Source organism: Homo sapiens, chromosome 2 (assembly GCF_000001405.40).
Source record: "Homo sapiens chromosome 2, GRCh38.p14 Primary Assembly".
In the NCBI taxonomy this organism is placed as follows: domain Eukaryota; kingdom Metazoa; phylum Chordata; class Mammalia; order Primates; family Hominidae; genus Homo; species Homo sapiens.
In genome coordinates, this window is record NC_000002.12 from 213359965 (window position 1) to 213374236 (window position 14272).

General features: G+C 35.2%; 1 protein-coding gene across 23 annotated transcripts in view; it reads left to right on the plus strand.

Moving 5' to 3' along the window:
- Nucleotides 1–14272, plus strand: part of SPAG16 (sperm associated antigen 16) — a 1126038-nt gene that overhangs the window by 75501 nt on the left and 1036265 nt on the right. For 22 of the 23 annotated variants that reach the window (NR_047659.2, NR_047660.2, XM_011511814.2 and 19 more), the window contains one exon: nt 4112–4181. Coding sequence is in view for 21 of the 23 variants with exons in the window: in XM_011511814.2 (XP_011510116.1) it covers nt 4112–4181 (70 nt within the window). In the remaining 2 variants the exon portion in view is untranslated. Of the gene's footprint in view, nt 1–4111; nt 4182–8849; nt 13036–14272 lie in introns of those variants that run through there. The other variant, XM_017004899.3, reaches the window with a different exon arrangement.

The following is a 14272-nucleotide window of genomic DNA, read 5'->3' on the forward strand; positions in this document are numbered from 1 at the left end:
GTCCCACTCTTAAGATAACATTGAAAAAAATAAATAAAATGGAGAAGTTAGGATTTATAAATAGCTTTTCTCTCTCAACCAAATCTGCTGTTGAAGGTGGTAGATTCACTACAATTTGAGAAAGTCAAATTTAAATAGGAGGTGCTATTGCTGCCACTGAGCTGTCACCACAGGTTTTACCATGGACAATGCTAATACTGAATACTTGATACTCTTTCAGAATTTTGTTATACTTGTCAATGGAAACTGGATGTGGCAGCCACCATTCTCAGGATAAATTCCAAATTCTACATTGTTCCTTATATCACTAAATTTTGTTCAGAATCCAAAATGGGTACACAGGATTGATGGAGCCAATGCAAGTCCTAGTTATAGGACAAGCTGTGTAAATATCTGATATCTATTGCAAAAGGTGGAAGACACATGATTCTCTAAACCCAAACTGCTAAGTGGCCAAAGCGACTGTCAAATATCCATTATACAAGTCTAAACCAAGGCTCAATTAACCTACTCTCCAAATTAGGGCACAGAATATAGTCCTAGTCCTGTCAGCTCTCCAGGTGTGTCCTTGTGGAACAAGTCAAGGTTACCACTTAAAGAATGGAAACTGTTTGTGTACCCTTCTTACAAAGAATGATTTATTGCCAACCAATCCTTTCTTTCTGTTGTAGCATACTAATCAGGTATATCCTGGGTGTACAGGCATAGATTAGCCTTTGAAATTGAACATATTAGTAGTGTGTCATGGAGCTATAGAATGAATTTATTCAAAGTATGTGTACAGAGAAAATATCTTAAAATATGTGAAATGTTTCTCTATAATGTAAAATAGAAGATAGGTTACTTTTGTGCTTATATTTTGAATATTTCTTTATTTCAACGTTTGATGCAGTTACGCTTTGAGAATTCATTTCCAACCAAACTTTAGGATGTGAGTTAAGAGCAGTAAGACATCTTATGTTTTCTAGCTGGATTCCTGATTGTTACTTCCTTAAAAACTTTATCTTAATGAGCATTTAGCTTACTGTGTTTCTCCTTAAACCTATACCTTGCATAAAGAAGGATTGTATAATAATTTAAAATTTTTGATTATTATCTAGTTTGCATATGAAAGAGTGAAAACACACTGTGGGATGACAAAAATCCGATAGGAAATACATGTTTTCAAATTTCTTTAGTAGATACTAGACAGTGAATCAACATTTATTTAAAATGTAATGAAAAACCTATAACTTTGTTTTTGGTTTTAAGAAATTATTGAAAATAGTGTTCAGAATTTTGAATTAGAGCTCCATGACCCAAGAAAAGGTGAAATAGAATTGATTTGTAGGTATCTATGTATACTAAATTATATTTTATCTTTTTTAGATCATGGGATTCTAACTCAGAATATGTATGTATGTGTGTGTGTGTGTATATATATATATATGTATACTAAAAACTAAATCTAAATATATATATATATTTTAGGTCTGTCTGCTTGGAGAGTCTAGAAGTAGTGACACTCCACCAGTAATGAACATATCCAGTGTTAGGATCTTGATTTCTAATATCACTCTGTAATAAAAGGAAAGGAAACAGGGTTCTTTGGAGAAGTGTCTGATTCTAGAGCTGGGCAGATAAAATACTAGATAGGCCTGGAGCACTTGGGACATTTTCTTGTGCTAGAAAGGAAGGAAATGCTCAAAAAGTAGAACAGAAAAGAAAAAAAAACTCAACATAATAATGGGATATGTCAAGTTATGACAAAGGAACTGTAGTGGGCACCTGCAGAGGTTGGTGGATCCCCAACTAAATTTGATTTGGATATTCAGACTGATAATGCCACACACACACACACACACACACACACACACACACACACAGAGGCTGTGAATAAATTCACTACTTGTGGAACTGAATTTGCTGAGGAGAGCTGCACATTACCTCCCAAGCATTTCTGAAATGGCTTGAGAGAGCAAGTAAGGGAGACTGGCTTGGGGTTTTTATTGCGGTTGGGGGTTAGGGCCAGGGTGAGAATTCTCATATGTGAGGTGAGGCTTGAGTCATTTGAATCTCCCATCAGTACCAGACAAGGGAGTACCCAGGCATTCTTGTCCAGTTGCCCAGATGTTGGGCACAAGGGAAGAAGGAGGAGGTAAAACTTAAAGGCTGTTGACACTCAAACATCAAACAATAAAGTCAGGTTCCTCATTATAGGAATCCAACCTGAAAGAGCTTCCAGTGATCAAACCTTCTGAAACAATTTGAGCAACAAAATAATGTAGTGTTTGATTATAACCCAAAATATAAAATAAATATCTTTGATTCCTTAATGGTATAAATATAAATGATTAGTAAGGACATGTGAGAGAGTAGACAAATCTCCCATACAGAAGAATCTCGAGTAATATATGTTGATAATCCTTCCCTCAAGTAGGTGGAGCTTAACAACTCAGCTGTTGAGTGTTGGCTGCACTTTGTAAATAATGACTTGCATCCAGAAATGCAAGGGAAATAGGGAAGAAAGTAACTTTACAGTGGGGAAACCTGTCAACCTTCTCATCATGTAACCAAAGGATCAAGGTGAACATCATCAGTTTTAAGTACTGTTGGTAGCATGAACCTATGATGTAATATGCTAATAATGGCACTCCCCTGTGATCTTCTTGCAAATCCATAACTTTAGTCTAACCATGGGGAAAATATCAGACAACCTCAAATCTAGGGCTATTCTGTAAAATACTGTCAGACTAATGCTCCCCAAAATTGTCAAGGACATTAAAATCAGGGAAAATCTGTGTATTAGTCCATCTTGTGTTGCTATAAAGGAATACCCGAGACTGGGTAATTTATAAGGAAAAGAGGTTTATTTGGCGCATGGTTCTGCAGGCTGTAGAAGAAGTATAGCACCAGCATCTGCAGAGAGATCTGCCTCCATGACCCAAACACTTCCCCCTAGGCCCCACCTCCAACACTGGGGATCACTTTTCAACAAGAGATTTGGAGAGGACAAATATCCAAACTATATCAGTCTGAGAAACTGTCTCAGTCCAGAGGAGGCTTAGGAGACCTAAAAACTAGTTGTAAGGTGATATTCTGGATGCGATTTTGAAACATAAAAAGGATATTATGGAAAAATTAATAAAACTAAAAATATGGCCTGTAGTTCATAATAATATATCAATATTGGTTCATTATTTGTGAAAAATGTATCATTACAATGTATGATGTTAATGGGGGAAAAAGGGTATGGGATAAAACAGGAATTCTCAGTACTACATTAGCAACTCTCCTGTTAATCTTATGCTATTCTAAATAAAAAGTTTATTTTTGAAATTTATAATTCTTTTGGCTTCTAGGAATAGATAGTAATCTTTTACTTTTTTTTAACCTAGGCATTTCATGAGCACTCATCTATAGGTTATAATTAATAAATTATGTTATTTTCTATTAATAAAGAAATATTACTATTCAGTGATAGTAGAAAAAAGTGTGTATCTGTATGTAATTGAACAGATGGTATTTTGTGTTGGTATAATCATATACAATGCAAGATGAAATAGCTTTTCAAGGTCAAATTTTAAATTAAGTATTTTTCAGGAATACAGGTAAATCATGACACCAAAGCTAACAAAAGTTCTTAGTTATAAGACATGTTTAATAAAATAGAGAATATATGTGGGTGGAAAATGAGCTAAGAGTTGGGGGAATAAAAACAACCTCTTCATATTTTACATTCCAAGTGATAATTACCTTGTATTTTATAAATATAAAGATGATAGTTATTGTGAAACAATTTGAACAGAGGAAAAACCTCTCTCAAAATAGAGAATTGAATAATTATTAAAGTGTACAATGAGTATTCTTAATTCAGGAAACTATGCCGTGAAATAAATGTTTCAGATGCTTACCTAAAATAAGTAATTAATAATTAGCTGGTGGAATTATATTTTAACTTAAAATTCTGTTTTTCTTTTGTTAAAATTTATGTTTTATTAAAAAAGGTATAAATTTAAAAGAGATTAATATTTTTTATATTTTACAATGGATATTTAAATATTGTGTTTTATGTAACCTTTTTAAAAGTCATTTAGTGTATAATTTCATTTCTTTGAATTTTACTTTTTAGATTTCTGGACTTCAAGAAACATTGAAGAAACTGCAAAGAGGACATAGTTACCATGGTCCTCAAATTAAAGGTAAATGTAAAATGTGATGAAGCTCTCATTTAATATAGTTTGGTGATTTCTCAACCTTATCAGTGATTAATATTCTAGAGATATTTAAAGGTGAGTAAGTGGTGGCTATTTCACAAATTAAAATTTTAATAAAAAGATTAAGAAGAAATATAGATATCATACTGTATGGATTAATTATAGAGAAAAACAAGTCAACTATAATGGAAGGACTTCTGCTTCTGGTCATTATACCTGGTACCAGACTAGCCTTCTCTGTGTAAATAACTCTAAAGCTAAGCTGTAAGATCAGACAACTACTTTTAGGCAGTAGAAAACAGACAGCTCAAGTAACAGAAGGCAATTGACAGAAGGAAAATTTATAAGGTGAGCTCTGCCATCACCATGGCTTTGGGTCTGTGGAAAGTTCCAAACTGAGCTTTGTGGAGATGGAAGCCAATAAGAGCATGACAATCCTGATAATTGGAAATGTCAGAGACCCTAGTTCACAGCTTTTGAAGCCACTGGAATCTGTAGGGAAAGACACCAGAGAAGAGAGCTGCAATGAGGAGTGGCTCAGTTTGTGAGGGAGTTTACTATGAGTCCTTAGCTGAGGCTGCAATACTATACATAACAACACTACCTGACACTTACAAGAGAGATACAATTATATAGGATCAAGAGGAGGCCAGAGATTGTAGAAGTTAAGTAGTGATGCGAAACATTGCAAATCTGGCCATGCCTGGGTGGAAAGACCTCTTTCACACCTTGTTAACAACACAGTAACATTCAGCATCCCATATCCGCCTTATAAAACCAGGAACAAAGCTTACACAGCATTCTTAGAGAGGACACAGAATTTGGAGTTTGAGTCTTGCCAAGTTATAGGGCCTTGAGAAACATTTAGGGCTTTCCATGGATCCACCCTAACGAAGCATAAAATTAAGCCTAGGATTTTAGGGTCATCAGCCAAAAATGGAACTGCCTTCTAGAACAAAAAATGACATCCTTTTGAGGAAGACAGTCATCCAGAGTCTTTACAATCTTTTACCCACATTGCCTAGTACATAATTAAACATTTCTAGATATGAATAGGAACAGGAAAATGTGACCCATAATCAAGACAACAAGCAATAAATGGAAACCTACCCTTAAGTAGCTAAACTGTTGCATTTAGCAGATAGAAAGTGCTAAAGTAGATACTTTGATTATGTTCAAGGACTTAATGGAAAATACTAATAAGTGAACAGATGGGGAATTTAAGCAAAGAAATGAGAACAAGCATACATTCCAAAGCAAATTGAAGTTCTACAGCTGAAAAGTAGAATAACTAAAATGAATTTTTTTTTTTTTTGAGACAGAGTCTTGCTGTGTCACCCAGGCTGGAGTGCAGTGGCATGATCTCAGCTCACTGCAGCCTCCACCTCCCAGGTTCAAGTGATTCTGGTGCCTCAGCCTCTCCAGTAGCTGGGACTACAGGCATGTGCCACCATGACTGGCTAATTTTTGTATTTTTAGTAGAGCTGGGGCTTCACCATGTTGGCCAGGCTGGTCTTGAACTCCTGTCTTGAAGTGATCCGCCTGCCTCAGCCTCCCAACATGCTGGGATTACAGGCATGAGCCACTGCGCCCAATCAAAAATTTTATTTAATGTACTTCATAACAAATTAGAGATGACAGAAGTGTCAGTAAATTTCAAGAGAGATCCATAAAGGCATCTAGTCTAAAGAAGAAAGATAGGCCGGGCACGGTGGCTCACGCCTGTAATCCCAGCACTTTGGGAGGCTGAGGCGGGCGGATCACGAGGTCAGGAGATCGAGACCATCCCGGCTAAAACGGTGAAACCCCGTCTCTACTAAAAATACAAAAAATTAGCTGGGCGTAGTGGCGGGCGCCTGTAGTCCCAGCTACTTGGGAGGCTGAGGCAGGAGAATGGTGTGAACCCGGGAGGCGGAGCTTGCAGTGAGCCGAGATCCCGCCACTGCACTCCAGCCTGGGCGACAGAGCGAGACTCCGTCTCAAAAAAAAAAAAAAAAAAGAAGAAAGATAAAAGATTAAAGGAAAACTTGCCTATTTAACATATATAAAATTAAAGTCCCAAAGAAGAGAATGAAAATGGAGCATAAAAATACTTAAACAAATGATGGCCCCAAATTTCCCCAAATTCATGTAAAGTATAAACTTAAACACCTAAGAAAAGAACTAATCATACACATAAAGAGAACCACTCCTGAACACAATGTGTTGAAATTGTTGAAAATTGAAGTGAGAAAATCTTTTTTTTTTAATTTATAAAGAAAAAGAAAAAGAGGTATAATGGACTCACAGTTCCACATAGCTGGGGAGGCCTCACAATAATGGTGGAAGGCAAAGGAGGAGCAAAGGCACCTCTTAGATGGCAGCAGGCAAGAGAGAGTTTGCAGAGGAACTGCCCTTTATAAAACCATCAGATCTTGTGAGATTTATTCACTATCATGAGAACAGCATGGGAAAACCCGCCTCCATGATTCAAATACCTCCCACCTGGTCCCTCCCTTGACACATGGGGATTATGGGAGCTACAATTCAAGATGAGATTTGGGTGGGGACACAGCCCAAACCATATCACCAAGTGTCCATTGATAGATGAATGGATAAGCAAAATGTGGTTTTTACATGCAATAGAATCTTTTTTTTTTAATTATACTTTAAGTTCTAGGATACAGGTGCACAACATACAGGTTTGTTACATACGTATACATGTGCCATATTGGTGTGCTGCACCCATTAACTCATCATTTACATTAGATATATCTCCTAATGGTATCCCTCCCCATTCCCCCTACCCCATGACAGGCCCCGGTGTGTGATGTTCCCCTTCCTGTGTCCAAGTGTTCTCATTGTTCAATTCCCACCTGTGAGTGAGAACATGCAGTGTTTGGTTGTCTGTCCTTGAGATAGTTGGCTGAGAACGATGGTTTCCAGTTTCATCCATGTCCCTACAAAGGACATGAACTCATCCTTTTTTATGGTTGCATAGTATTCCATGGTGTATATGTCCCACATTTTCTTAATCCAGTCTATCATTGATGGACATTTGGGTTGGTTCCAAGTCTTTGCTATTGTGAATAGTGCCGCAATAAACATAATGTGTGCATGTGTCTTTACAGCAGCATGATTTATAATCCTTTGGGTATATACCCAGTAATGGGATCGCTGGGTCAAATGGTATTTCTAGTTCAAGATCTTTGAGGAATTGCCACACTGTCTTTCATAATGGCTGAACTAGTTTACAGTCCCACCAGCAGTGTAAAAGTGTTCCTATTTCTCCACATCCTCTCCAGCACCTGTTGTTTCCTGACTTTTTAATGATCGCCATTCTAACTGGTGTGAGATGGTATCTCATTGTGGTTTGATTTGCATTTCTCTGATGGCCAGTGTGATGAGCATTTTTTCATGTGTCTGTTGGCTGCATAAATGTCTTCTTTTGAGAAGTGTCTGTTCATATCCTTCACCCACTTGTTGATGGGGTTGTTTGTTTTTTTCTTGTAAATTGGTTTGAGTTCTTTGTAGATTCTGGATATTAGCCCTTTGTCAGATGAGTAGATTGCAAAAATTTTCTCCCATTCTGTAGGTTGCCTGTTCACTCTGACGGTAGTTTCTTTTGCTGTGCAGAAGCTCTTCAGTTTAATTAGATCCCATTTGTCAATTTTGGCTTTTGTTGCCATTGCTTTTGGTGTTTTAGACATGAAGTCCTTGCCCATGCCTATGTCCTGAATGGTATTGCCTAGGTTTTCTTCTAGGGTTTTTATGGTTTTAGGTCTAACATTTAAGTCTTTAATCCATCTTGAATTAATTTTTGTATAAGGTGTGAGGAAGGGATCCAGTTTCAGCTTTCTACATATGGCTAGCCAGTTTTCCCAGCACCACTTATTAAATAGGGAATCCTTTCCCCATTGCTTGTTTTTGTCAGGTTTGTCAAAGATCAGATAGTTGTAGATGTGTGGCATTATTTCTGAGGGCTCTGTTCTGTTCCATTGGTCTATATCTCTGTTTTGGTACCAGTACCATGCTGTTTTGGTTACTGTAGCCTTGTAGTATAGTTTGAAGTCAGGTAGTGTGATGCCTCCAGCTTTGTTCTTTTTGCTTAGGATTGTCTTGGCTATGTAGGCTCTTTTTTGGATCCATATGAACTTTAAAGTAGTTTTTTCCAGTTCTGTGAAGAATGTCATTGGTAGCTTGATGGCGATGGCATTGAATCTATACACTTCATGCTAAAAACTCTCAAAAATTCGTTATTGATGGGACTTATCTCAAAATAATAAGAGCTATTTATGACAAACCCACAGCCAATATCATACTGAATGGGCAAAAACTGGAAGCATTCCCTTTGAAAACTGGCACAAGACAGGGATGCCCTCTCTCACCACTCCTATTCAACATAGTGTTGGAAGTTCTGGCCAGGGCAATTAGTCAGGAAAAAGAAATAAAGGGTATTCAGTTAGGAAAAGAAGAAGTCAAATTGTCCCTGTTTGCAGATGACATGATTGTATATTTAGAAAACCCCATCATCTCAGCCCAAAATCTCCTTAAGCTGATAAGCAACTTCAGCAAAGTCTCAGGATACAAAATCAATGTGCAAAAATCACAAGTATTCTTATACACCAATAACACAAACAGAGAGCCAAATCATGAGTCAAATCCCATTCACAGTTGCTTCAAAGAGAATAAAATACCTAAGAATCCAACTTACAAAGGATGTGAAGGACGTCTTCAAGGAGAACTACAAACCACTGCTCAATGAAGTAAAAGAGGACACAAACAAATGGAAGAACATTCCATGCTCATGGATAGGAAGAATCAATATCATGATAATGGCCATACTGCGCGAGAAAATCTTGAAAGCAATAATACAAATACAGGCTGATTTCTCATAGGAAATACTGGAGGCTAGAAACAATAAAATGGTATTTTTAAAGTGTGGAAACAATTTTAATTCAGAATTGTGTATCCAATAAAAATATCCTTTAAAATTTAGATAAAATGTAGACATTTTAAGATGCAGGCAAGCTCGGAGATTTTTTGCAAGCCTATCTGTACAGCAGGAAATACTAAAGAAGTTTCTTTGGTCAAAAAAGTATATTTGCCAGAAGGAAATTAATATCTACCACAATTGAATACAGAGAATTAAAAATGTTAAATTCTGGTTAAAATGAGAAATATGTTTTCCTTTTCTAATTTCCTCAGAAGAAAAGTGACTGATTAAAATAAAATTATGGTGTCATAAGGTAATGTTTATAAGGTATGTAAAATAAAGGAAAATAAATTGAGGTGTGGTGGAAATGTTTTATATCTTAATTTTGGTGGTAGTTACATGCCTGTTTATATTTGTCAAAACACACCTATCTGTACAATTACAGTGCATAATTTACCTACAATAAAATGCATAAATTTAAGTATACCTGTGTTTACTTTTAGGCAAAGAGGATTTTTTTTTTTGGCTCAGATAGCTAGAAGGCACAGACAGTATTCTCAGACATGACTAGATCCAGAAGGATGATGTCCTTAGGACCTGGTCACTGCCTCTGTCTTGTGAGCTGAATTCATTTTTTAAAAAGGATAAACTTTATTTTTTAGAGCAGTTTTAGGTTTATAGCAAAATTGAGTGGAAGGTACAGTGATTTTCCATATACCACCTGCCCCCACCCATATACCACCTGCCCCCAGACATAGCTTCCCCTATTATCAGCATCCCCTACCAGATTGATACAGTTGTAAAAACTGATGAGTGTCCATGACATTAATATCACCGAAGTCCATAGTTTACATTAGGGTTCACTTTTGATGTTGTACGTTCTGTGGAATTCAACACATTTATGACGTGTATCCAACATTATAGTGTCATACAGAGTAGTATCACTGCCCTAAAAACCTTTTGTGCTTTGCGTATTCATCCCTTCCTCCTTCCTACTTTTCTAATATTTTATGTTAAAGTAGTATCAGTTATGCACAGTGATTCCTAAGGGACTATGCACAAGGATGTTTATTGCAGTCATAAAAGTAACACAACAATACAAGCAATCTCACTTTTTAACCACCAGTGAATGTTTATAGTGGATCCTACAATAATAAAAAGTCTAAAACTCATGCATAAGAAATACTTATGTTTTAATGTTAAGAAGTAAAAACATTTATATGGTACAAATGTATGCCTGTTGAATATATGCAAAGAAAAAATATCAGAAGGTGTATACCAGGATTTTAACATAATTTTCTCTGTGTTATGTGACTACTTCCTACCCTTTTCTTTATTGCATATTTTACAAAGAGTGTACATTTCTGTCAACTTCAAAAATTGTTTTCATATTAAGATAAGAAGAATGTAATCAGATATAAATATTAAATGATGGTTTGAAATTATCATAATTTCATGAACTGTAACTCCAAAAATGACTAAATAGTCTGAAAAAGAATATATGTAAGAAAGCTTAAAGGTTGAGGGACTTTGTGAATTGGGTTGATGTTTGCACCAATTAATCTCTAACGATTCATTCTACTCTAATGGTTTAAATTTTATATATTTATCCTTGACATATCAATTAAAATAAACTGATGCCTGACAGATAACTCCCTTATGAAATTATCTCCTGGTGTTTAGTCTAATTCATACAAGAACATATTGCATGTTTTTCTTGAGTGATGTTTACAATGTACTTTGGAGATTAAACTTGTATTTGATCTGTGATATTTTGAAATGGCTTTTAGTCAAAAGAAATTCTGACCCAACATGGGGAAATAGTTTCTTTTAGTTATGTATCCCAACTATCTAATCAAAAGTAGTTATTTAAATCCTGTACTGAATAATTTTATGCTCTTTGTAAACATACACTCTAGTTTTAGATACAGAACTTGAAGCACTTTTCCCTAAGCTTCTGATCTCAGCATTTGTCTGTGGTCCCTTAGACTCTGTCACGTCTCCAGTTGCTAAAACTTGGTATCCTACTTAGGGACTGTAATTTGAAAAGAGGCTGTGCGTGGTGGCTCACGCCTGTAATCCCGGCTCTTTGGGAAGCCGACGCAGGCGGATCACGAGGTCAGGAAATCAAGACCATCCTGGCCAACATGGTAAAACCCCGTCTACTAAAAATACAAAAATTAGCTAGGCATGATGGTGCGTGCCTGTAATCCCAGCTACTTGGGAGGCTGAGACAAGAGAATCACTTGAACCAGGAGGTTGCAGTGAGCCGAGATCGCACCACTGCATTCCAGCCTGGCAACACAGCAAGACCGTGTCTCAAAAAAAAAAAAAAAAAAAAAAGAAAAGAAAAGACGATTTATTGGTTAAGTGGTTGTTCTTCATAATTCCTGTCATTCTTCATATTTTCATGTTACTTCCTCCCGCTTTACTTGCTCATTTAAGTTTAGTTTTAAAAATACTTCCCTCTCTCTCTCATTTACCCATTCATCCACCCATCCATCTATCCATTTATTTTCGGCAGAAGTTGGCATGTCAATAGAGATTCTTCAAATTAAACATTATTTACTTTGAAGTTAGAAAACAACAAATTGATTGTCATTTACTCTAAACTTTGGGAAGAAGACACATTAATTGTTATTTAATCTAAATTTAGGGAATAAGATGCAAATTGGAATGATTTGGAGCAAAGTTAGCAAAGTATTTTAAACATACTTTTTTGACTACCAAAGTGACGTTTATTATAGAAAATTCAGACAATGATAAAATATATTTTAAAGAATCACCCCGTAATTGCTGCCATACAAAGATAATATTAATGCTTTATTACCTAATCTGATCTGAAAAGAGTTTTCAATTTTACATTTATTCTTTATGGTAGGTCAAAAGTAGAAAAATTTCTGGGAGAAACTATGAAATAATTATTATTGAGTAGATATTTAAACTGAAAATTACAGATTATGTTTTTATTTTTATCAAGGGTCATATGTATCGAATATTTACATGACACTATACAGAAAGCACTTTTTAGTATTACATATTATGAGATAAATTTTTTTTTCAAATTAATTTCAAAAAGCTTATGAAATCTACTGGTTTTGATTGTCATCCTTTTATTAGTTGTTTTTGTTTGCTAAGGTTGCAATTTCAGTGCAGTAATGCCTATTTTTAAACCAGATCATAATGATACATATAATTGCATTTTAGTATATCTTATAATGTATAGGAAATTATTAATTCCGGATGACCTTCTAGAAATTGTAAATGCTTGGTGAAGTGAAAAATTGTGAAAGCTGACTTCAGAGCTTTAAAGAGGAAATAAATGTCATATATAGTAAAGCAAAGTAGCTCTTAAGTTAGTACTTCAAAATTAATAGTAGAGCAAGTACTCATTATTTCTTATAGTTTAATTAATTGCTGCTTTTTAAGTTCGTGTTTTGTTGCTGCTCAGAATTGCATTATGAGATGCCAAATTCATGTAATTATTAGACTATATGGTCTAATTAATACTTTTTTCAAATATAACATCTTCTTATTTAACTCTATTTCTTTTTCTGAATTCTAATTACATAGATCTAACCAATCTCCTCATTTTAGTTTACATGTGTCCTAATCTCTTAGACATTTTCTGTTTCTCTAGGGTAAATTATAGACAATTTCTTCAAAACCTTTTTCAGTTAAAAAATTCTCTTTTCAGTTTTGTTTGGTCTATAAGGAAGTTAGGGAGTGGCATGAAGTTAGGGAGTGGCACAAAGTAAGTGCTCAATAAATATTTGTTAAATTATGGTATTTATGTCTTTCTGATATTTATCCAAGAGCCTGAACATGTTAACATTGATTAAATGTGTACACACATGAAGGAACAATTGAGTGGGTAAAATTTAGCACTGGAAGGTACAATAAATAGAATTTCTATAAATGAAAGTGTGTTTGTTTATTTGCTGTTTGTTTTATCTCAAGAAAGTATGCATGCCTTAAAATGTTGACTTTACCTAAGTAAAATTTGGAAAACTGCACAGTACCTGTTGGTACCATAGCCTTTGTCATTAATAAGCATTAGATGACAGCCATGAGAAGCTATGATAGAGACAAAGACTTTGCTGGGATATTACTCAACATTGAGAAGTGCTATATGGAATCTGAGAATTACATGCATTTAACACTGAATGTGATACAGACTTTATTGTCTGTGCCTTTCATTTGTTCTGTAAATTTTTGTGTAAGTAAAAGTGATGCTTATTTGCTGGAGAGTGGAAATCATATTTATTCTCGCTACATTGAGAAATACTTGAAAAACATTTTTTTTTCTGCCAGTACCCTGTACATTCTGCAATGTTTATTCCTAAGTTTTGGTTTTAAATGTTGAATACTGTCCTAAAATTTTATTAAAGTGTGTATTTTCCATTTTGTTTGTAGAGCAACAATGTATACACATAAACCATGCCCTTTTGGATTTTCCACTTTTGTAATTACTACCATATTTGTTTGTTTACTTGCTTTTTAATTTTATTTCTTTGATGAAGTGGCCTTTAGCAATGTCTTGCATGCTACATGAGATCTGCTTATATTCCTGGAATTATCTGTTGGATTCTTGAGTTTCTCTCCCTACTGATTTCTCTTTTCTTTCCTCTGATATTACTATATGCATTCCCCTTCTCATATACAATGGGAACAAAAGGTAGTGTGACCTTCACAAGATTATTTACATAATTGCATAAAATTGTACCTATGAGTTGTTTAGAATAGTGGACATTATAATAGTAAAAGATCAATGAGGCATGAATGTTAGTTATTGTTTTTAATTATTATCAGGTTGACACCCCTGGAATTTGAAGGGGAAAATATAATAAAAGAGAAGCAGAAGTAAATATTTTCCCTTAATCTCAACAAGCTGTAATTGTTGCCTTTCCTCTAGACTTCAGTATCCTAGATGCTGTGGGACTCTAGCTTAGCACCTTCGGGGAGGACAGGCAGTTTGGACACCCAGGTCTCTCAAGTACTTTCATGTAACGTGGGGTTATGGAACATTTTTTAACGTTATTGTGGGAGTTATTTTGAGGATTTTCTCCTTTGTCTAGAACTGGTATCGAATAGAAAAAATTAGTCAGAAAATAAAATAAAATAAATGCCAGCCATTTTCTTCCCTGCCTTTATAATCTCA